Here is a 24,494-nt window from a genome sequence, read left to right as displayed (position 1 = left end):
CCTGAGTTGGGCTACACACAAGAAGTTCATTCACACGCTGAAGTATACTCCCATTCTCTAATTGCAGATACCTCAGACCCCTCTCTAAAGCCCAGGCAAAGAAATGGGGGCTATTCCAAAAGCTCTGAGGGAGCACTGTCCAAGTGTATTGTTGTTTTTCCCTGGTATTAGGATTTTCCCATTAGAAGGCAAAAAGGTATTGGGACTTTGGGGCCAGGGGAATGGAGAAGAAAGCATCTTTTAGGTCTAGGACTGAGAACCATTTTGCATCCCCTGGCACCTAAGCCAGGAGAGTATATGGAAATAACAGCTTCATTAATTATTCTGAGGTCCTGTACTAATCGGTATTCCCCTGAAGGTTTTAGAATGGGTAAGGTGGGGGTATTGCAGGGAGGATTACAGGGTTTTTTTTTTTTAGACAGAGTTTCACTCTTGTTGCCCAGGCTGGAGTGCAATGGCGTGATCTCGGCTCACCACAACCTCTGCCTCCCAGGTTCAAGCAATTCTCCTGCCTCGGCCTCCCGAGTAGCTGGGATTACAGGCATGTGCCACCATGTCCAGCTAATTTTGTACTTTTAGTAGAGACGGGGTTTCTCCATGTTGGTCAGGCTGGTCTCAAACTACTGACCTCAAGTGATATGCCCACCTCGGCCTCCCAAAGTGCTGGGATTACAGGTGTGAGCCACCATGCCCAATGAATTACAGGGTCTTAAGAGCCCATGGGTAAGTAATACTTTAACTATTGGTGTAAGGCTTTTTCTTGTTTCCTGCTTAATTGGGTATTGTTTTCAATTGGAAAATTAGCTGGGATTTTTAGGTTGTATTTTGACTGGCACTGCCATTTTAGCCTTCCCCGGTTTTCCAGTATACCATGCCAGTGGGTTAGCCTGTTTATTAATGTGGTCTGTGACATTGTCTGTAATTTTGACTATTAGCAATTTCACTGGGTGATGCTTAAATTATTGTAGTGCCCTTGTTCTAACCACAATATCTCTTCCCAAGAGGGGGATTGGGCAGCTTGGTACTACTAGGAATTCCTGCTGGAAGATTTGTCTCTCAAATTGAAAAATCAAAGGAGGAATAAAAAATCTTGTCTGTGGCTTCCCTTTCATTCCCATAACACTCATGGACTGGGAGGAAAGTTTTCCTGCATAAGCAGTAAGAACAGAGTAATTTGCCCCTGTATCGAAAAGAAACTGAATTTGGGTGCCTGTGATGTCCAGAGTTACCTGAGGCTCCTCAGTAGTAATTAAAATGTTCCTGGGCAGGGGCAGTGAGGAAGAATCCAGGCCCCTTCAGTCTTCATCTAATTCCTCCTTTCGCAAAACTAGAGTTTTGCCTGACTGAGACCCTTGGTGGGAGAAGGGACAGTCAATTCTCTAGTGCCAGGGGCCACAACTGGTGCCTTCGCATTGACAGTAGGGGCCTGGCAGGGGCTTACTACATTCCTTTGCCCAGTGCCCATTTTTCTTGCATTTGAAGCAAGAGCCTTTGCTGGCATTATCCTTATTGCCCTTTGGATTTCCCTTAGATGCTCTTTGAGCATTCAAGGCATCGCCAATGATGGCTGCCGTAATTCTGGCTTGCCATTTTTCTTCATTCTGTTCCCTTTTTTCCTTCCTCCAGGTCACAATTGTTATACACCATAAAGGTGGTATCAGGAAGCTGATTTTGATTAGTTTGTGGCCCCATTTGTAGCTTTCGGAGCTTATGTCTAATGTCTGGGGCAGATTGGCTAATGAAATGCTGTGCCATTAATATTTTGCCTTTGGAAAAGGAAGGGTCCAGATTAGTGTACTTTTTAAAGGCTTCCTCCAGCCTGCCACAAAACATGGCTGGGTTTTCCTCCCTGCCTTGCATAATCTCCCTTACTTTATCATAATTTACTGTCTTAGTTATTCCCTTTCTCATTCCTCAAAGGAAAGCCTCAAGAAATTTAACCCGGTTGTTCATTCCCACAGGGGTGTTATATTCCCAGTTAGGATCAGTAATGGAAACTGTGTCTGGGCCTGAGCAATTGCCCTGAGGGTTTTGGGCAAATAATTCGTCTGCTTCCTGGTGGGTGGCCTCAATGACTCCTTCCTTTTCTGAAGGAGTGCAACAGGTTGCTAGAATGAATTGAACATCTCTCCATGAGAGATCAAAGGCTAAGGTCAAAGTTTGGAACCCATCTGCAAATTTCCTAGGATTCTCGGAATAGCTTCCCAGCTTTTCCTTATATTATTGTATATCAATTATAGAGAAGGGGACCTGCACTAGGACTGACCCCTTAGCTCCTGCTAATTCCCTAAAAGGTAGCAGGGTTGAGAGTTAAATACGGTGTTCCTCTCTGAGTGTGAGGGGGACTTAGTAGGGTCTCCGGTGTTTGCTCCTGGGTTTTAGCCTCAGGAGCACTTGGCAAGGGGCCATATGGGGGTGGTCACTGTTCACCCTGACAGACAAGTGGCCCTTGTAAAAGGGGGTCATCTATAGTATCTAGTTCTGCCTTAGAACTTTCCTTTATGGGAGTGGGTTCTGGGAGTTTCACAGATGGTTAGGTGTGGAATAGGGTCATGAAAGCCTTTACATATGGGATTTCTGACCATTTGCCCTACCCCTTGCAAAATAGGTCTAATTGCAGGATAATGTCATAATTAAGCTACCATTGACTGCCCATTGTTCTGGGCTGGGCAGCTTATAATGGGGCTAGACAGTATTGCAGAAAAAAGTATACATTTTCTCTTTAGATTGTCAAATAGATTCCGATGGTAGATGATGTAACCAAGCAGGGAATCAGGTGGAATATGTGGAGAGTTGCCCACAGTGGAATCAGGTGGAATAGACTGACAGTTGCCCTTAGTGGTCTGGAAAAGAGGACTTTGAAAAGTGGAGGGCTCACTAGGTGACCCAAATTTTGCCCGGGTGTCCCCTTGGAAAAATTCTGGGCCCAGGCTGGGTTCCCTGAGGGCGTCCCTCCTTAAAGGCCCTGACTTAGCCTGTCAGATATCTGACCTTAGATGTATGGCAGCACCACTTTGGAATGGTTCCCTCTACCACTGAGGACCTATTGTGAACTTTCTTTCCTTAAGGATTTTCTATCCCACTGAAAGCAACCCTTTAACTCTCAATTGAGGCAATAATAAATTCCCTTTCATGAATTAACCTCCCCACCCCCCACAGACTACCTGGGACAATCCCAGACCCTCTGACTAGTATAACCCTTTTTTTTTTTTTTTTGGCATAGCTAGGTGGGTTTTCTGTCCTTAGCCAGTCGAGTGGGGGAAGGGAAGAATTTAGCATAAGAAAAGGAGGTTTAAGTCGCCTGAAACATGTGTGAGTTCACCCTGGATGAACTGCCACTGCCAATTGCTTCACACATAGGGATCAGGGACTATCACTGAAAAGGATAGAAAAGAGTCTTTCCCCCTTCTGAGAAGGGCAGCCATCCCTGCTTTCTCCTTGGCCTTCAGACAACAACGGAGAGTGGACCCAACCAGTTCCCCTCAATTACCAAGGAGCTACTAGGAAAAGGCCGCTGAAAGACTGAAAAATGAAAAAAGAAAACTCAGAAAAAGGAAGAAAGGAATAGGACTCAGAAAAACGAAAACAAGGAAAAGGACTCAGGTCCCTTACCCAAACCAGGCGGTGGTGGTCAGGCACTTCCACATGGAAGACTTTCAGTTTCACCAGAGAGTGGACCTGGCCAGAAAGTTGCAGTTGTCTGCATTCTTAGGTGCTGCCTACTGAGGGTCCTGAGTTAGAAAGGAAAAGAGAGAGACAGAAAGATTTCCCTGTATGTAAAAGGGGAAAGGAGAAAAATAAATCCCAAACTTTGGACCTGCTTTCTCCTGGCCAGCTTGCCAAAATATGTTACTGGTAGAGGGTCTTGACTGCAGGTTGTCCAGGGTTCTTGGCGTTTTGAACAAAGAATTAGACAAAATGCACAGCAAAGGAAGGAAAGAATGAAGCAACTACAGAACAAAAGCAGAGATTTATTGAAAATGAAAGTACACTCCACAGTGTGGGAGCGGGCCTGAGCAGTGGCTCAAGGGCCCCAGATACAGAATCTTCTCAGGTCCAAATACCCGCTAGAGGTTTCCCATTGGCCACTTGGTACCTCATAAATGAGTGGTGGCCCACAATCAGAGGCTGAAGTGAAATTACAAAGATCACACTCCTGTGCAAACGTCTGATTGGTTACAGAAAGTGTCATGCGTGTCCGTGTGAAAAGACCACCAATAGGCTTTGTGTGGGCAATAAAACTTTTTAATCACCTGGGTGCAGGCAGGCTGAGTCCAAAAAGAGAGTCAGCAAAGGGAGTTAGGGGTGGGGCAGTTTTATAGGATTTGGGTAGGTAGTGGAAAATTACAGTCAAAGGGGGTTGTTCTCTGGCGGGCAGGGGCGGGGGTCATAAGGTGCTCAGTGGGGGTGCTTCTGAGCCAGGAGAAGGAATTTCACAAGGTAATATCATCAGTTAATGCAGGACTGGCCATTTTCACTTCTTTTGTGATTCTTCAGTTACTTCAGGCCATCTGGATGTATATGTGCAGGCTTGGGCTCAGAGGCCTGACATTCCTGTCTTCTTATATTAATAAGAAAAATAAAAAGAAATAGTGGTAAAGTGTTGGGGTGGCAAAAATTTGTGGGGGTGGTATGGAGAGATAATGGGCGATGTTTCTCAGGGCTTCTTCAAGCAAGATTAGGGGCAGTGTGGGTACCTAGAGTGGGAGACATTAAGCTGAAGGAAGATTTTGTGGTAAGGGGTGATATTGTGAGGTTGTTAGAAGAAACATTTGTCATATAGAATGATTGGTGGTGGCCTGGATACAGTTTTGTATGAATTGAGAAACTAAACAGAAGACACAAGGTCCGAATAAGAGAAGGAGAAAGACAGGTATTAAAGGACTAGGAATTGGGAGGACCCAGGACATCCAATTAGAGAGCGCCCAAGGGGGTTCAGTGTAATTACTTGCTTGATTGGTGAGTTGGACAGTCCGATTTCCAGTGGGGTCCCACACAGATGGGACATGGCTTAGGAGGAATCCTGGGCTGCAGGCATTCCTTGGCCCAGTGGCCAGATTTCTGGCACTTGAAGCAAGATCCTGATGGAGGAGGTCCTGGAGGAATGCCTGGTCACTGTTGCTTAGGCGTTCTGAAGTTCTTGTGTGCTGGAGATGTGGCTGGGTTTTGTCTCACAGCAGAGGCAAGTAATTGTAACTCTTTTCTATTATGGTACACCTTGAAGGCGAGGTTAATTAAGTCTTGTTTGTGGGGTTTGAGGGCTGGAATCTAATTTTTGGGGCTTTTTCTAATGTCAAGAGCGGATTGGGTAATAAAACGCATATTGAGAATAAGACAGCCTTCTGACCTTTCAGGGTCTAGGGCTATAAAGCGTCTCAGGGTTGCTGCCAAACTAGCCATGAACTGGGCTGGGTTTTTATATTTGATGAAAAAGCCTAAATGCTAACTGATTTGGGAGAGGTTAGATAAAGAAAAAGGAGCATTAACCTTGACTATGCCTTTAGCTCCAGCCACCTCTTTAAGAGGAAATTGTTGGGCAGGTCGGGGAGGGCTAGTTGCAGAATGAAACTATAAGCCAGACCAGGTGTGAGGAGGGGAGGTGATAGAGGATTATAGGGTGGAGGAGTGGAGGCTGAGGAAGAATTGAGACCTGGCTCGGCCTGGTGAGGAGCAGCCTGGGGAGGAGGGGAGAGGTCAGATGGGTCAGTAGAAAAGGAAGATTGAAAAGACTCAGCGATGCTTGGGGTTGGTACTGAGGGAACAGGCGGGAGGGAAAGAAGAAAGATTTGGGATGAATTGCTTTGGAAACAGAGACTAGGGAGGGGCTAATGTGTAAAAGAATGCCTGGACGTCAGGCACCTTAGACCATTTGCCCATTTTACAACAAGAATTATCTAGATCTTGTAGGATGGAGAAATCAAAAGTGCTGTTTTCTGGCTATTTGGAACCATTGTCGAGTTTGTATTGGGGTCGAGTGGCATTGCAGAAGAAAATAAGGCATTTAGGTTTTAGGTCAGGTGTGAGTTGAAGAAGTTTTAAGTTCTTGAGAACACAGGCTAAGGGAGAAGAAGGAGGAATGGAGGGTGGAAAGTTGCCTATAGTGAAGGAGACAAGCCCAGAGAAAAGAGAGGGTAGAGACATGGAGAGAAGGGGTGGGGGGGTACTTGCCCCCTAGGAAAGTGGTACTTGCCACTAAGGTGAAGGATCAAGGCAGGTGTCCCCACGGTGATCAGACACCTCTGAAACATGGGTGAATAATCAGGCAGGCATCCCCACAGTGATTAAACACCAAGGGAAGCCTGTCTTCCCGAGTCTGTGGCTGGCGCCGGAGTTTTGGGTTCATGGATAAAAAGCATCTCCTCTGTCTCTACCAGAAAAGGAAAGGAACTGAAATTAAGAGAAGGGAGAGACTGAAGGGTGGTGCCAAGATTGAAAGAAGAAAGAGGTAGAGGGATAGTGAGAGAGGTTGGAGAAGAGAGTAAAAAGAGGCCACTTACCCAATTTAAAATTGGTGAGATGTTCTTTGGGCTGGTTGGTCTGAGGACCCAAGATCGTAGGCAGATCTTTGTCACGGAGCAAAGAGCAGGAGGACAGGGGATTGATCTCCCAAGGGAGGTCCCCCAATCCAAGTCATGGCACCAAATGTCATGCGCGTCCATGTGAAGAGACCACCAAAAGGCTTTGTGTGAGCAATAAAGCTTTTTAATCACCTGGGTGCAGGCAGGCTGAGTCCGAAAAGAGAGTCAGTAAAAGGGAGTTAGGGGTGGGGCAGTTTTACAGGATTTGGACAGGTAGCGGAAAATTACAGTCAAAGGAGGTTGTTCTCTAGCAGGCAGGGGCGGGGGTCACAAGGTGCTCAGTGGGGGAGCTTCTGAGCCAGAAGGAATTTCACAAGGTAATATCATCAGTTAAGGCAGGAACTGGCCATTTTCACTTCTTTTGTGATTCTTTAGTTACTTCAGGCCATCTGGATGTATACATGCAGGCTTGGGCTCAGAGGCCTGAGAAAAAGCAACCAATCAGAGGTGCTTTCAATGTTCCATCTGCTGCACAGAAAAGGTTTGCAAAGGGAGTATCCTCTAGTCCTCTTGTTACTTAGGCGTGGAAAGTTAGGGTTTTCCTTTCAATTTATTTCTAGGAAGTCAGCAGGAAACGGCCTTAGGTTCCCTGCCTCCAGACCCCATTCTCCTGCCTTGCTCATACACAACATTTCCTCTAATCAGACTGGTCCCATTATTGTCTCACAGAAGCATTCTTTTCAATTCTGTCTCCTTACCTTTTCTCCTGTCACTGTTCTTACCTGAAATGCCTCTTCTTTGCCTTATTAAATTGTATTCAACCTTCAAGATCCTGCTTGGTCTAAACTCAAGCTTAAGAGCAAGCCTTCCATGTCTACTTCCATCTGCTGTAATTTTCCATTTCTGTGAATTTTTTCTGTACTTGACAGTCTGAACCACACAAAGTTAATAGTTGATTATACATGTTCTTGCATTGCTCACTCATCATTTCTGGGGTTTTGGGCCTAACCTGCCAACAGATGTTAATGCCATAAGAGAAGCATCTATGTTGCATACTTACTTGTGCCTTTCCTCTGACATATAGCATAATGCAAAGTCCTGATTACATACATTTAAACCTTTCGCTTTGAAAGGCTAAGTCAATCTATGTATACAGTTACCAGAGGAGTGTGAAAACTCTCTTTTCCTAGAAATTATATAAGTGGCCTGATCATCCTTGGGACTAGCTCAAGAGTCCTCTACCACTAAGTGGCTTAATCAGAAATGTGAGAGGCATAGAAAGGCATTAATTGAAATCTTAGAGACCCAGGTGATTAAGCATATCTCTTCCACCAAACCTTTGATAGGAGTGACTTTTTCTTCCTGGGAGATACATTCTACTGGCTACTTACTCTATTTCACTTATATTTGGTTCTACATGAAGACAGCATGGTGTGATATTCCCTCTGTTATTTAAAACACACCCCAAAACCTCCGATCTTGGTGTCTCATGCTATTTATATGCTTATTCATTCATTCACTATCTTTATTTATTGATCACCTAAAGAGACAGGATAGTATAATTATATATATATATTTTTTGATCAGCTATATATTTATATTTATTTGATCACCTAAAGAGACATATATTTATTGATCACCTAAAGAGACAGGATAGCATAATGGCTAAGATGCCAGATGCTAGAACCAGAATGCCTGGGTTAAAATCCTAGTTTTACCACTTTCCAGTTTTGTGACAACAATTTATTTGATATCTCTGTGCCATCTGTAAAGTGGGATGGTAATAAGAGTACTTTACTGATAGAGTTGTTGTATGAAATAATTCATATTTATAAAGTACTGAGAACAGTGCTTTGCACACAATAAGTGCTGTATAATTTTTATCCACAATTTTTGTCATTTGTGTATATCTGGTATCTCTACTCCTGCCTATTTTCTTTCCTTTCATTCACTAAAGTGAATATCTTCCATTCACTAAAGTGTTCTGAGGGGGCATTTTCTCTAGAAGGCCCCACTCATAATAAACATACGTTCCTGGGAACGTTGATTATTTTATTAGACAGACTATTTGACAAACCCATTTTTGATGGGATGAGAAACAGAACAGGAAACATTTTAATGCAGTATTATTAAGTACAGATGGGAAGAGCACTGGACTGGGATTAAGGAAACCTAGGTCCCAGTACTTGCCCTGACTTTTTTCTCTTGTCCCTTGTGTGATGTTGAATAACTATTTTAACCTTTCTAGGTTTCCATGAACACATCTTCAAAACTGGTGGCTTGGCCTAGAACAATAGCTTTCAAATGTTTATCATTTATTTCATATCAGTGGAAACTTTTCTTCAAAAAAATATTAGGTAGAAGCTCAAAATGTAAACATGGAATTGCTGCTTTGGTTTAAAAGAATATGAGGAGCTTTCTGAGGCACCTTTACTTAAGCATTAGGCCATAGAGACTGAAGCCATAGAATTCAACCAGGGGTTTATGCTGGTAATCCAGCTCTCATTAGTAGTGTTTGTTGATTTCCTGTGGTGTTAATACTTTCATCATGGCAAGTTTCAACCTACCAACGTGACATAACTGAACAAGTCAAGAAGAGATATCTATAGTCAGCTCTTCTAACGTGAGTAGGGGGAAACTCTAGCACTTTTAGACTTTTAGATTCCAGCCAACGAGAGTTTAGGGGACTTGGAGTTTACGTGGATAGGCAGAATGTGGGGAAGTGATATGTGCTCTTGGATGCCAGATGGGAAGGGATATTTATTTATTTATTTATTTGAGATGGAGTCTCACTCTGTCACCCAGGCTGGAATGCAGTGGTGCCATTTCAGCTCACTGCAACCTCCACCTCCCAGTTCGAGTGATTCTCCTGCCTCAGCCTCCCAAGTAGCTGAGATTACAGGCACCCACCATCATGCCCAGCTAATTTTTGTATTTTTAATAGAGACAGGGTTTCACCATGTTGGCCAGGCTGGTCTCAAAACTCCTGACTTCAGGGTCCTCCCACCTTGCCCTCCCAAACTGCTGGGATTACAGGCATGAGCCACCACGCCTGACCAAGATATTTAAAAGAAAGATAACAAGAGTTAGTTTTAACATTTTGCCAATGTCACTTTTGAGGGCATATGACTAGGGGTTCAGCACTTCGTGTATTTGCTTCCAAACTGTCTCCATATTCAGAAGGAGAATGAGTTGACCAAAAGCCACTGAGGATCCATACTCATACTGAGAAAAAGGAAAACAAAACAACAATCTTAAGGACTTTTTAATAATAATACGTAGAGTAAATTGAAAACACAATCTGTCAGCCCACTTCATGATGCTGCCTGGGAAGCCCAATAAATATTCCTATGTGACTTGCTTCAAACTTCTCTGTGCTTGGTAACATTATAGCTGCTAGATGTACACAAAACACCTGCCTTGGGCATCAGGCTCCACCCAAATTCAGGCCAGGAAAGAAACTGGAAATGTAACTAGAGGAAGGGGTTCAACTTTTTCAGGTCATGGATAATTCTCCCTTCCTCTCCATCCTTTCTTATCTCTTCTCCTTCCTTCTATCCCTTCTCATCCTCATCCCCCGTCCTCTCCTCCGTCCTCTCCAACCCCTCTCTTCCTTTACCTCCTCCAACTCCTCACCCATGCCATCTTGCTCTAGAAAGAGGCTGTTTATTGGGCTTCTGTGTACCATCCTAAAGCACAGTGATATCAAAATAAAAATGAAAATGCCTCAGGCTCAGGCAGATGGCAGATCTGAGGTTTAGTTTCCCTGACTTGTTCCCAGTTCCTGTGTAACACGGATGTTGAATGGAGAACAAGTGGGCCCACCACAGCAGATCAAAGGGTAAAACCCGGGACCAGTGGACTGACTGTAGGAAGTGGCAGAAATTCTGAGATCAGAAGCCAGCAGAAACCATGGTACTACTTTACACTCATTAGGATGGCTATAACCAAAATAAGAAAAACAAAAATGGAAAATAGCAAGTGTTGGTGAGTTTGTGGAGAAATTGGAATCATAATAAATCCTAGTGGGAATGAAAAACTGTGCAGCCATGGTGAAAAAGTTTAACAGTCCATCAAAAAGTTAATTATAGTTATCATATTGCTTAGCAATTACACTCCTAGTTATATAACAAAGAGAATTGAAAATATATTTTCACCCAAATATTTGCACAGGAATATTCATAATAGCCCAAAAGTGGAAACAACACAAATGTTCATCAACTGACAAATGAATAAACAAAATATACTATAGCCATGCAATGGAATATTATTCAGCCATAAAAAGGAAATAAGCACATGCTACAACGTGAGTGAACCTTGAAAACATTATGCTAAGGGAAAGAAGCCAGTCACAAAAGACAGCATATTATATACTTCCATTTATATGAAATATAAAGAACAGGGAAATCTGCACAGACAAAAGGTAGACTAGTAGTTGTGTAGGGCAGGAGGGTAGCTGAAAAGAGGGGTAGGGTGAGTAAGGATGTTGTGACGAATGTGCATAGAATTTCTTTTTTTTTTCTTTGTTTTGAGATGGAGTCTTGGTCTGTCGCCCAGGCTGGAGTGCAGTGGCATGATCTCGGCTCACTGCAAGCTCCACCTCCCAGGTTCACACCATTCTCCTGCCTCAGCCTCCCGAGTAGCTGGGACTACAGGCACCCGCCACCAAACCCGGCTAATTTTTTGTATTTTTAGTAGAGACAGGGTTTCACTGTGTTAGCCAGGATGGTCTCGATCTCCTGACCTCGTGATCCGCCCGCCTTGGCCTCCCAAAGTGCTGGGATTACAGGTGTGAGCCACCGCGCCTGGCCAGAATTTCTTTTTAGGGTGATGAAAGTGTTCTAAAATTGACTGTGGTGATGGTTGCATGTACCTGTGAATATACTAAAAACCACTGAATTGCACACTTAAGTGCATAAATTGTACCTTATGTGAACTTTATCTTCATAAAGCTTTTTTAAAAATCTTGTACACCGGCTGGGCATGGTGGCTCATGTCTGTAATCCCTGCACTTTGGGAGGCCTAGGCAGGTGGATCACCTGATGTCAGGAGTTCGAGACCAGCCTGGCCAACATGTTGAAACCCCGTCTCTACTAAAAATACAAAAAATTAGCCGAGCATGGTGGTGGGTGCCTGTAATCCCAGCTACTCAGGAGGCTGAGGCAGGAGAATCGCTTGAACTCAGGAGGCAGAGGTTGCAGTCAGCCAAGATCATGCCACTGCACTCCAGCCTGGGCAAGAAGAGTGAAACTCCATCTCAAAAAAAAAAAAAAATTCTTGTACACCAGTTGATATGGTTAGACTTCGTGTCCCCACCCAAATCTCATCTTGAATTGTAATCCCCAGGTTTTGAGGGAGAGACCTGGTGGGAGGTGATTAGATCATAGGGGCAGTTTCTCCCATGCTGTTCTCATGATAATGAGTGAGTTCTCACAAGATCTGATGGTTTTATAAGTGTTTGACATTTCCTCCTACACACACTCTTTCTCTCTCCTGCCACCTTGTAAAGAGGGTGCCTGCTTTCTCTTCCTTCATGGTATAAGTTTCATGAGGCTTTCCCAGCCATGCGGAACTGTGAGTCAATTAAATCTCCTTTGTGTATAAATCACCCAATCTCAGGTAATATCTTAAGAGCAGTGTGAGAACAGACTAATACACTGATATTCATGGCTACATTATTTATAACAGCCCAAAAGCAGAAACAACCCAAACGTCCATCAACTGAAGAATGGATAAACAGAAAGTGATATGTTTGTACAATGAAATATCATGCAATAATAGAAAGAAATGAAGTGGCCCGGGTGCAGTGGCTCAAGCCTGTAATCCCAACATTTTGGAAGGTTGAGGCGGGTGGATCACTTGAGGTCAGGAGTTCAAGACCAGCCTGGCCAACATGATGAAGCCCCAACTCTACTAAAAATACAAAAATTAGCTTGGCATGGTTGCAGGACCCTGTAATCTCAGCAACTCAGGAGGCTGAGGCAGGAGAATTGCTTGAACCTGGGAGGTGGAGGTTGCCGTGACTGGAAATCGCCCCACTGCACTCCAGCCTAAGAGCCAGAGCCAGAGGCCATCTGGAAAGGAAGGAAGGAAGGAAGGAAGGAAGGAAGGGAGGGAGGGAGGGAGGGAGGGAGGGAGGGAGGGAGGGAGAAAGAGAGAAAAGAACGAATTGATATGTGCTACAACATGGATGAACCTACTTCAGAAACATTATAGTGAATGAAAGAAGCTAGACATGAAAAACTACATACTGTATGATTACATTTATATGTGATATCCAGAATAGGCAAATCCATAGATAAAAAACGTTAATTAATGATTGGTGAGAGGATACAAATAGGAGGAAATTAGGAGTGGCTACTAATAGGTTTGCAGGTTTTTTGGTGGGAGGTAATGAAAATGTTCTGGAATTAGATAGCAGTGATGGTTGCACAATACTGTAAATATATATAAGAAATCACTCTATTGTACACTTCAAAATGGTAGATTTTTTTCATGTAAATTTGTCTCAATTTTTAAAATTGTCAGAAAAACCTATACAGGAGTAAGCCCTCATTTACTGGAAGTGCTGAAAAATAAAAAAGAACGTACGGCCAGCCAGTCAAGAGAACCAATATAGAGTGGTTTTCTAGAAGCCTGGGGAAGAGTTTTAAGAACAGTTAAAAATCACCCAAACAATTTCCCATGTGTTAATTCCATTCTCACCAGACATCCTTTTAATTATTGTTATTATTTAGTTTCTCAAATTTTCATCTTGATAGAAAATTTGCTGACCAGAGTCTGCAAACAGTCAACTGACCAGAGCCCGCTGGTCTTCTTGGCTGTATTTTTCACGAAAAAAAGAATAAGTTAGATTGAAATTTGGGTGTATAAGTGTTTTCTGGTCATCCTGCTGAGGCAGTTTGACCATTCCTCCTCGTAATTTTAGGTTGGATGTGGACACTCGTGACACTAGATATGACAAGAGAATTTGAGAGAAATTTTATTACCCTGGGGACTAGTGGGGGTAAGTGAGGGAGGGCTGGGTGCTGCAAACAGGTCTGGGCTGGTTTCAGAGGCAGAGGAAGTTGGATGGGCCTTTATAGCATCTAGGAAGTGGGGCTGGTGAAAATGCCGCACAGGCTGTAGATTTGCAAGTTTTAAATTTCTCAACTGCACCAATTTTTGTTGCCAGTTTTAAATTTCCCACCAATGCCAAAGAAGGAGGCAGGCTGGAGAATCACAAGTTTTAAATTTCCCACTACAGCCAAAAGCAGAGTCATGCGGCTGTAGATTTGCTAGTTTTAAATTTCCTGCTGGCATCAAAGGAAAAGGTGCCCGGACTTTCTTATCACCCTGACCGGAAGCAGGGACCAACTATGCATGCTCCAAGATTTTGGGACTTTTCACTGTTTTATTTTGATTATTCTCTGTCTTTTCCTGTAAAGCTTATTTTCAGGGTCAGAAGCAAATAGCTGTATAAATAAGAAAGAAAAAACTAGCTCAAATAAAAAAAATGGTAGGATTCAGTGACAGGATTTACGTGTGTGTTATGTAAGCCACACGATATTTTCAGTCTGGGCAACTCTTAAGAGATGAATTGGGCCAGGCGTGGTGGCTCACGCTTGTAATCCCAGCACTTTGGGAGGCCGAGGCAGGCAGATCACCTGAGGTGGGGAGTTCGAGACCAGCCTGACCAACATGGAGAAACCCCGTCTCTACTAAAAATACAAAATTAGTCGGGTGTGGTGGCGCATGCCTGTAATCCCAGCTACTCGGGAGGCTGAGGCAGGAGAGTCACTTGAACCCGGGAAGCGGAGGTTGCGGTGAGCCAAGATCACGCCATTGGACTCCTGCCTGGGCAACAAGAGCGAAACTCCGTCTCAAAAAAGAAAAAGAGAGATGAACCAGTACTGCTATAAACCTTGTGGAGAAATTTGGGAGAAGAAACTTTTACAGTTCAAAGCACAATGTCTAGAAAATGTTTCTGTAAGCAGTATTTTGGCAAGTGTTTTTCTTGTAAATGTATTTACAAGTTCCAGTGATTCTCCCGCCTCAGCCTCCCAAGTAGCTGGGATTACAGGCATGTGCCACCACACCCTGCTAATTTTGTATTTTTAGTAAAGATGGGGTTTCACTATGTTGGTCAGGCTGACTGGGGTTCAGAGAAGGAGGAGGAGAAAGGCGAGGAGGAAAGGGAAGTGGTCTCAAACTCCTCACCCCAGGTGATCCACCCACCTCAGCCTCCCAAAGTGCTGGAATTAGAAGTGTGAGCCACCGCGGCCAGCCCACGGACGGACGGCTGGTACTTACATGTGCACAAGTGCAGCTACTTTACTTACCGTCGAAGGCAGCGGAGGAAGTGTAATTGACTAGCGTGGATGCAGCTTTTCTAAGCAAACGCTCGATTTAACCTGGAGTTGTCATCCCACAAAATACATTGTACCTGACTACAGAGAAACATGAATTCTGGGTCTTCCTTGTGTGTAAGAGTAAATGTATTTTTCCTTAGCATTTTTTGTACCTACTATAGGCATCCATATGGCAATTAGAAGTAACAGAGAGACAAGCAAAACCATATGTTTAAAACAAAAGGTAAAAATAACTAGTATTTTGAGACGTGTTTCAAGTACAGTATTTCCAGAAAACAATATATTTATATTTTTAACTCGTGTCTTTAGCCCTCACACACAAGGAAGACCCAGAATTCATGTTTCTCTGTAGTCAGGTACAATGTATTTTTTGGGATGACAACTCCAGGTTAAATCGAGCGTTTGCTTAGAAAAGCTGCATCCACGCTAGTCAATTACACTTCCTCCGCTGCCTTCGACGGTAAGTAAAGTAGCTGCACATGTGCACATGTAAGTACCAGCCGTCCGTCCGTGGGCGGTTAAAAGGCCCCGGATGTTCAGGGGGTGGAGTCGGCGTCTACCCATGAGGCAGCGCGTGCAGTTATATACTTCTGCCCCCGGCTGAGACGCCGGTTCCGCGCTGGAAGTCTCCGGGGGAGTCGCTGTTGCTGAGGCTGTCGCCTGAGGTTTTTCGCGCTCCTCCCTTTCCTCCTCCTCTTTCTCCTCCTCCTTATCCGAACCCCAGTCAGACCGATCTGCTCTGCTCTCGGTAAGCGGCCCCCGCCCCCGCCTGTGCCGCGCGGAAGGAGGCAGCAGCTCTCCCGCGCGGCCGAGGCAGCCTTCCCCAGAGGGCGGTTCTGAGGGCGGCTGGCTGAGGGTCTCTATGCCGGTGCGGATCGACGGGGGTGCGGGGGAGGGGACAGGCTTGGCGGCGTGGTAGCTGGTGGGCCACCATCTTGCGCCGGGCCCTGAAGGGGGAGGGTTTTCTGGAGGTAGAGCCTGGCGGCCCGCGGCGGGCAGTGGTTTCGCGGGCCGCGGCAGCTGCGGCAGCCTTCTCACCTCCTGAGTCCTGTCGGTCTGTTTCCAACCCGGTTTGGGCTTTTCATTCTGGAGGCAACTCCCTTTCGTCTTTTGTACGGTTGATACTGATGTTTGACGGAGACCCGCCCACCCTCAAGTCTCTTCAATCAAACGAAAAGAGACTTGAGGGGATTCCGAACTTTCAGGCATCAGAGACCCTGTGACCCCTTCTTTCTGCGCAGGTTCCCCCCACACAGGACCGGTCATTCCATGCCCACAACCTTGTTCTGGCCAAAGGGACTTCCCTTCTCTGTCACAGAAATCGTGCTCTATTCCGTTATTGTCTAGAGGATAAGAGCCCTGAGGAGAAACGTGGAGTTAAATACACTATATTCTAACTAGGAGGTTTGCAGGTTTTACTTAAAGAGATGGAAAAAATTATGCTGAGGTATACTCCTGCTCTAGAGATGGAGGGAGTTCCTTTCAACTTCTCTCAGGTTTTAATGCTTTTTTAAGGAGAAATTCGAGAGGAAATTGTCAAGTGAACCAGCTTCTGCAAGCACGGGAGACCTTCATCCAGGGGATTCTCTTTGTTTGGAAAGATTTGTTAGTTTTGTGGAGTTTTTTAAATCTGCGACCTTAAATTTTTTTTACTATTGTTTTCAGGTTTGGACTATGAGTTGTAATGTCTTTTAGTGCCCCTAAACATAAAATAGAAACCTAGAAGTAGAGTTTTAAACTGCAAAAGTCTCCTCTTAGTATTTGTGAGGTGTCCTGGTTTGGGGGTTACTGTGCAAACTTAATCTCCTTACGCAGAAACTTCACTGAGCCTACAAAGGCACTGATTTGCTTGTAAAATTAGGGCTGTGTACCTTTGATGTTTCTACAGCAGTACAGATTCCATTATAATCGTATCTTGCATTTGTATATTTCATTGGTAGCACCCCTTTTGAGATGGGCTGTAGGGTGTCGTTAGAACTGTTTGAAGATGAGGAAACAGCCTCAAGGACAGAACTTTACCGAGGTCATGTGCCTAGGAAGTGATGGAACCAATTCTTAAACCTAGGCTTTCTGACCCTCATCCAATGTTCAATTTGGTATATTATGTCTCACTTTTTGTGAGAGTGAGGTGGTCACGGAGAATAAGCAAGGAGGCTCACTTAAAAGTTTTAAGAAGTATTATTCAATTCCTTTTTCCTTTATATTTTTATTTTTAAGGCTTCATTTTTTTTCGACTTTTTCATACTTTAATATTATTTCTAAGCATGTTGAAGAGTTGAAGAATATCCTATTGAAAAAGTTCTTAGGTTGAATAACTCCAAATCTCAGCTACTTGGTTTTCAGTGAGTTTGTCTTAAGTAGTGATTCAAAAAGATTTGATTTCCTCAGTAATTTTTTTTTTTTTTTTTTGAGACGGAGTCTCGCAATGTCGCCCGGGCTGGAGTGCAGTGGCGCGATCTCAGCTCACTGCAACCTCTGCCTCCCGGGTTCAACCGATTCTGCTACCTCAGCCTCCTAAGCAGCTGGGGTTACAGGCCCTTGCCACCACGCCCGGCTAATTTTTGTAATTTTAGTAGAGATGGGGTTTCACTATGTTGGCCAGGCTGGTCTGGAACGCCTGACCTCGTGATCCACCCACCTCGGCCTCCCAAAGTGCTGGGATTACAGGAGTGAGCCTCCATGCCCAGCCTTCCTCAGTAATTTGAATCAAATATATACGTCTAGACTTTTTTTCCCAGTGCTCTGTACATTCAGAGAAACATCACTAGTAATGAACTGTAGAAATGACTCCTGAAAGTAGAGTATTCGTCTAGACTTTATTCATTTGCTGCAAAGTAGTTTTCTTTTAAGGAGTTTTTTTTTTCATTTTTTTGTTTCCTTTTTAACTTTTTATTGGCAAATGATAATTGTGCGTATTTATGGGGTACAATGTGATGTTTTGATATGTATACATTATTGAAAGAGGCTAACATAGCCATCACCTTACCAATTTATCATTTTGTTATGAGAATGTTAGAAATTATTTTAGCAATTTTGAAATATACAATACATTATTAGTATTAGCTGTGGTCACCTTGTAGTGCAATAGATAACTAAAACTTATTCCTCCCATCTAATTAAACTTCGTACTCTTGGATCAACATCTTTTCCCCATCTGTCCCACCCCTGAACTCCCAAGTCTCTGGTAACCATCTTTCTACTCTCTGTTTCTATGAGATAAAGTTGTTTAGATTCCACATGTGAGATCATACAGCATTTTTCCCCAGAGAATAAGAGAATCCAGCTGCTTTTTATTAAGATAAATATTAAAGACATTTGCAAAAATGTAAATCAATATTACTTTTCTCATTAAATTTGTTTTTTAAAAGTTATTCTCATTAAAAGTATTTTTATTAACTTGTAATGGGCTTATAAATATTTTAAATAAAAACATTTGAAATCTGTCTCAGTTTCAATTTCTAATATGGGAAATATCAACACATATTGTCCATATAAACATAAAGCTCATTGGGGTTCTCATTAAGTTTTAAGTGAAAAGAAATCCTGGGATAAAAGAGTTTGAGAACTACTGATGTGATGCAGTTTATTTATGATATGATTTTAATTGAGCTCTTCATGTGAACTAGATTTGTTTTCTTTAAGTGCTTGTATTCATCAACTTAACGGTATGACTTCAGGTAAGGAAGGAGAAGTTGAGAAAAATAGTGCAAAGTACTGTTGAGGAATATTTCACTTGCTTTATTTAATGTTCACAGTAGTGCTGCAAGGAAGGTATTACTGTTTTCGTTTTACAGATAGAAAAACTAAGGCTTACAGAGGTTGATTATACTTACAGATTTGGCAGCCAGGAAGTGGTAGACCAGAAATTCCCACTCAGGTTGTCAGCCCCTATGTCCAGTGTTCCCATCAATGCACTTACTTACATTTTCCCTGGTGGATAAGTTTTACTCGTATAAAAAGCAAATTGATTAATAATACATACTTCTTGAGGTTACTTTAGGAATTAGTGATTATAGAATATCTTATGAAACTTACATAAAATATTTACTATACAGATTGGCTTCAAAAGGCCAGTAATTGTACATTAGTCTTTTCCCCATATTATATCTTTTACATATGAATTATAATAAAAGCGTATGCCTATAAAGTCTATACCCTGAGTATAAAGTAAAACTTCTTTGTAGAAGTATATTTTATTATAGTGCCCCATCCCAAAGCTGACATAAAATGTTTTAAAATATAGGCAAACTTTGCAAAGTATTATGCTAGTGAGTTTTAAATCTTAGTGTAAACCAGCTATTTTCTACAAATAGATGAAGTATGAAAATTAACAGAGACAAAAGTTGAAAATGAATAAGGATAAAATAATAAAGTTATTAAATGTCTTCTCAAAATGTACCTGGACTTCATGTGTTCAGGCTTTCAGAAAAAAAGATAATTTGCATAGTATAAAAACTTGGACAAAGAAAATATGAAGAGCCTCTATTTTCTTTCTGAATTGTATGTAATTTGTTCCCAAAACCTACTTTGAAAGTTTGAATCGTTGAGATGCCAGTCAAATTGTCTAAGGAACCAAGATATAATCCAGTTTTCTTGGATTTGCGTACTATACCAATTCTTGTTATAAGAAAAACATTTCACAGACACCCCTGAACTTAAAATGTTTGAAACATTCTCAGAGTTCTTACACAACCATAAAACAAAGCAGTCAAGTGAAACTACAAAACCATTGCCATTTGAATCAGCTTTCATATATTGAATGAGTATTTTGCTGAGTCACTGCCTACCTACTTCTATTGAGTTTTTCATACCTACTGATATATACTATATATATAATATATTCCCTACTTATATATAAATAATAGCAAGGTTTTTTATTTGAACCCTTTCAGTACCTTCATTTCTATAGCTAACCATATGGTCATTGCCCTTCATTTAGTGCAAATGCGTCATTTATGTATATAAGGTTGGTCACCCAGAGAATCCCCAGAGCAGGCTTATGTTAATTTTTTTAGATAGCAAAAGTTAAATAGCAAAACAAAAAGAGAATTATATTGTTATAGAGCTCTCTTGCACAACCTGGAATATATCTATTTTCCTGAGAGGTCTGTTGACCCTGGTTTGAAAAATGGGGTAATCCATTGATGAATTTATTAGTAGTTTTAAACACAGTTGCCAGAAACCTAGCTCAAAGTAGATTAAACCAAAAATGAATAATTATTTTCTCTCTTAACTGAAAAGCTGTTGTGGATAATTTGCTTCAGGCATGGTTAGCTTCAGGTATTTAAATGGTATCATCAGGACCGGTCGAATGTTTACCTACTCTCCCTTTCTCTACTCCAGAATCGTACAGCTTTGCTATCTTTGTTAGGTTCTTTCTTTGGTACTTTTTCTCCACATCACTCCCAAGCTTAAATCCTACCAGCTGATTATTTTTTCTTTCTTTCTTTCTTTCTTTCTTTCTTTTCTTTTTTTTTTTTTTTTTGAGATGGTGTCTCACTCTGTCTCCCAGGCTGGAATGCAGTGGTGCAATCTCGGCTCACTGCAGCCTCCACCTCCCAGGTTCAAGCTATTCTCCTGCCTCAGCCTCCTGAGTAGCTGAGATTACAGGCACATGCTACCACGCCCAGCTAATTTTTATATTTTTAGTAGAGACGGGGTTTCACCATGTTGGTCAGGCTGGTCTCGAACTCCTGACTTTGCAATGCACCTGCCTCTGCCTCCCAAAGTGCTGGGATTACAGGCATAAGCCACCGCACCTGGCCTTATTATTTTCTTAATGGCATTATTGAGATACAATTCATATAGCATACAATTTACTCATTTGAAGTGTGCAATTCAGTGGTTTTAGTATATTCACAGTTGTGCAGCTAGCACCACAGTTAATTTTAGAACATTTTCATCACCCCAGTAAGAAACCCTGTACCCATTAACAGTCACTCCCCATTTCCCACCAACCCTCCCAACCATATGCAGCCTCTACTCTACTTTCTGTCTATGGATTTGACATTTCTAGACATTTGGTATGAATGAAATCATACAATATGTGGTCTTTTTGACTGTCTTCCTTCACTTAGTATAATGTTCTCAAGGCCCATTAGTATTGTAACATGTATCAGTGCTTCATTCCTTTTTATTACCAAATAGTGTTCAGTTGTATGGATATATCACATTTTGTTTGTCCATTCCTGAGTTGATGGGTATTTGAGTTGTTTCCACTTTTTGGCTATTGTGAATAATGCCACTGTGAACATTTGTGTGCAAATTTTTGTGTGGACATATGTTTTCAATTGTCTGTCTCTAGGAGTGTAATTGCTAGGTCATGTGATAACTCTGTTTAACTTTGTGAGGAACTGCCAAAGTGTTTTCCACAGTGGCTGTACCATTTCACATTCCCACCAGCAGTGTATGAGGGTTCCAATTTCTCTACATCCTTGCCAACACTTGTGATTATCTGTCTTTTAATTCTAGCCATCCTAGTGGGTGTAAAGTGACATCCATTAACTATTTAAATGTTTTTTTATTGTGGCAAAATACATATACTATTTACCATTTTAACTATGTCAATCTATTTTTAACTTTTTGTAGAATAAACTCTTGTAAAACATAGTTGAATTTTAGATACATAAAAGCTGAAACCAAAAAATAAATAGGAATTATAATTATTTATACAGGCAGTCTTCAAAAAAATGAATGGGTTGTGTTCAGTAGGTGTTTCCTCAGTCAGTTACTCAGAATTCATTTTTTTTCCCTCAGAAGAACAGTGTATTAAACATGGGTATAGTGTCTCCACCTGAATCGGTAGCTGAAATATGGGGTGTTCTTTCCTCTTGTGCCTATTTTGATGCCAACTCTGAGTTGCAGAACCTAGAGACCCTCTGGAGTTGCTATTATAGGAGCTCTTAAGATGCCCACTGCATATCTTTGCTGGATATTCCATTTCTCTGACAGCTGACTTAATCCCCCATACAATTCCTTCCCTTGCCACCAAAATTCTGATGTGGTGACTTTAGGGGTTTTTGTGATAGTTTTAGAAGGCTGCAATCCTTCCCCAAAGGAATCCATGAAGTTGTATGTATTTGTTTATTTTAAAAACTGGAACTAAGTATGGTAGTATTCTTTTGACGTGTCGTCCCATAGAAATTCCATAGCTGCATCATCCACTATAGTAGTCGCTAACCACTTGTAGCTTTTGAGCACTTGAAATATGGCTAGAGTGACTGAGGAGCTGGATTTTTATTTTTTAATTAAGTTGAAGTAGCCACATGTGGCTAGTGGTTACCTCATTGGATAGCACAGCTTTGGACTGAAGTTATGGCTCTAATGGCATCTAAAGATTTCTGACTTTTTAGAGCATTTATGAGCGTACCAATTGAGACTCTTTGGTGGCTGCATTGGGCCTCAAAAGCTATCTCTATAGCCATAGGCAGTAAATATGACTTGTTTATATAGACTACTTGTACATTTAGTAATCATTTTAGGATGGTTATGCCAATAAATATTTTATATGATCATTTAATTAAAGTGTTAAGCCAGGCACAGTGATGTTCACCTGTAGTCCCAGTTACTTGGGAGGATCACTTGAGCCCAAGAGTTCAAGGCTGTGGTATGCGATGATGAGTCGTGCTTGTGAATAGCCACGGCACTCCAGCCTGGGCAACATAGTGAGACCTTGTCTCTAAAACATAAAAATTAAAAAAAAAAAGTGTTATATGAATCTCATAGGCTGTGCAATTGTGACTTTAAAAAATTCTGTGCTCTTGGTAGCAATAGATCCTTAATGTTGAGCAAGAATGGTCATGTATTTATCTGCGTGGCATATGTATTACCTTAATTCTAATTTAGGAACAAGCACTAACTATCCAAGTAGTTGAGTTTAAAGAGATTTGAATAGTCAGACCTCAAAACTAGGGACATTTACTGAATTACAGAATTCACTAGAGACTCTTGTAGTAGAAATCCAAACATTTATACAAGTAACTTCTTTTGGAGTTAAAGTAATATTTTCCCCTTTGCTCTAATTCCGTCCAAATAATTTGGAATTAGGGAGTTTGCTTTTGCCAGTTGGAAGATAAAGACAAATGTGGAGACTGAATTAGCTCTGTATATCCTACTTTAGATTTCTGATGTCTGATTTTTACCTTTTTTGTTTTATAACTTAAATAGTATTTTAAAAGTTTATTCTGTATGTAGAATATATGGTATGTTCAGTGCACGAGAACTCAGGATACAAATTCCTGTTTTAGAAAGCAATTCACATTTTTTTTGATAACGTTTAATGTAACAGCTTTTTGAAAAGCCCAAAGAACCGTAGACGGATTGTAAACTTCTGAAGGCAAGGACTATGGCTTATTCATCTTTGTATTTTCCCTAGAACTTGGCATACTACCCTGAGCACAAAAGGCAATGAACAGTTACTTTATAATGAATTGTTTTACTACGCAATTTATCCAATTACTTTTCTGTTACTTTTCAAAAAACTAAAAATATCTAAATGTATGTGTTTTCTTATAGTAATAATATTTCTGAAATGTGAAGAATAGGAATCAGTTAAAGATTAATGTCACTTAGCATTTCAGAATTCAGATTTACTAAAACATATATTACAGGATAATTACTCATTTTTGCATAAAGATCCCTTTTGAAGTTTATTTGTAATCTGATAACTCCGATTTTTTCAAGTAGTAAATGTTTAATACATTTAACTATATGTTAAATGTATTCATTTGGAAATGAACCAATTATGGAAAATGAATTACCTGTGTGTATTAAACATATCAAACTCAAAAGGTGGGCTTTTGTAGGAGAAAAAGACTAAATTTATGTGCATTTAATTTAACAAAATCCACACTAGTAGTAGACATCTTTATTTTAGAGGGTGGAAAACTGAGACCTAGCTTACTGTCTTGTCTGGAGTCATATGGTGAGTGTGCTGGAGATCAAAATTAGACCCAAAGATTTTGGATCTCAGGTTTCATGTTTCAATACTTGGTGTTACTTAAAGTGACTCATAACATTGATTGATGTCATGTGTTCGTACTTAGGTGACCTTGCAACTTCATGGATGACGACAAACCTTTTCAACCAAAAAGTAAGTATTTCTGCTGTAGTTGATACTAATAGGCATGGTTTTTGTACTGTAAACCTTTCAAAAGAAAAGATTAGAGACAGAAGTGGGCACATTTTCTTAAAAACAAATATTATTTATTTATTTATTTTTATTTTTTTGAGACAGAGTCTCACTGTGTCGCCCAGGCTGGAGTGCAGTGGCATGATCTCAGCTCACTGCAAGCTCCACCTCCTGGGTTCACGCCATTCTCCTGCCTCAGCCTCCTGAGTAGCTGGGATTACAGGCGCCCACCACCACACCCAGCTAATTTTTTGTATTTTCAGTAGAGACGGGGTTTTACTGTGTTAGCCAGGATGGTCTCAATCTCCTGACTTCGTGATCCACCCGCCTCAGCCTCCCAAAGTGCTGGGATTACAGGCGTGAGCCACCGCACCTGGCCTGTTTATTTTTAAGACAGATTCTCACTCTGTCACCTAAGCTGGAGTGCAGTGGCGTGATCTCGGCTCACAGCAAGCTCCGCTGCCCAGGTTCAAGCAATTCTCATGCCTCAGCCTC

General features: G+C 41.7%; 1 protein-coding gene across 2 annotated transcripts in view, besides 3 other annotated features; it reads left to right on the top strand.

The window, feature by feature from the left end:
* Positions 2,431 to 3,423: an enhancer, noted in NCBI's record as "OCT4-NANOG-H3K27ac hESC enhancer chrX:129414930-129415922 (GRCh37/hg19 assembly coordinates)". NCBI's record gives its function as "activates a minimal SCP1, AML or CMV promoter by ChIP-STARR-seq in naive H9 embryonic stem cells {active_cell/tissue: H9 hESC(naive)}" and the evidence as "EXISTENCE:reporter gene assay evidence [ECO:0000049][PMID:30033119]".
* Positions 3,424 to 4,417: an enhancer, noted in NCBI's record as "OCT4-NANOG-H3K27ac hESC enhancer chrX:129413936-129414929 (GRCh37/hg19 assembly coordinates)". NCBI's record gives its function as "activates a minimal SCP1, AML or CMV promoter by ChIP-STARR-seq in naive and primed H9 embryonic stem cells {active_cell/tissue: H9 hESC(naive and primed)}" and the evidence as "EXISTENCE:reporter gene assay evidence [ECO:0000049][PMID:30033119]".
* ZNF280C (zinc finger protein 280C) overlaps positions 15,480 to 24,494 on the top strand; it is a 66,193-nt gene continuing 57,178 nt past the window's right edge. For both annotated transcript variants that reach the window (XM_006724765.4, NM_017666.5), the window contains exons 1-2: positions 15,480 to 15,617; positions 23,914 to 23,960. In XM_006724765.4, the coding sequence (XP_006724828.1) occupies positions 23,930 to 23,960 (31 nt within the window). In that variant the 5' untranslated portion in view covers positions 15,480 to 15,617; positions 23,914 to 23,929. The remainder of the gene's footprint in view (positions 15,618 to 23,913; positions 23,961 to 24,494) is intronic.
* Positions 15,700 to 15,779: a silencer, noted in NCBI's record as "silent region_20998". NCBI's record gives its function as "represses an Ori minimal core promoter by ATAC-STARR-seq in GM12878 lymphoblastoid cells {active_cell/tissue: GM12878}" and the evidence as "EXISTENCE:reporter gene assay evidence [ECO:0000049][PMID:35858748]".

The sequence above is a fragment of the Homo sapiens genome, chromosome X (genome assembly GCF_000001405.40).
Source record: "Homo sapiens chromosome X, GRCh38.p14 Primary Assembly".
Taxonomy (NCBI): domain Eukaryota; kingdom Metazoa; phylum Chordata; class Mammalia; order Primates; family Hominidae; genus Homo; species Homo sapiens.
Note: the sequence above shows the minus strand (reverse complement) of the source record. Positions and strands in the feature narration are given on the sequence as shown.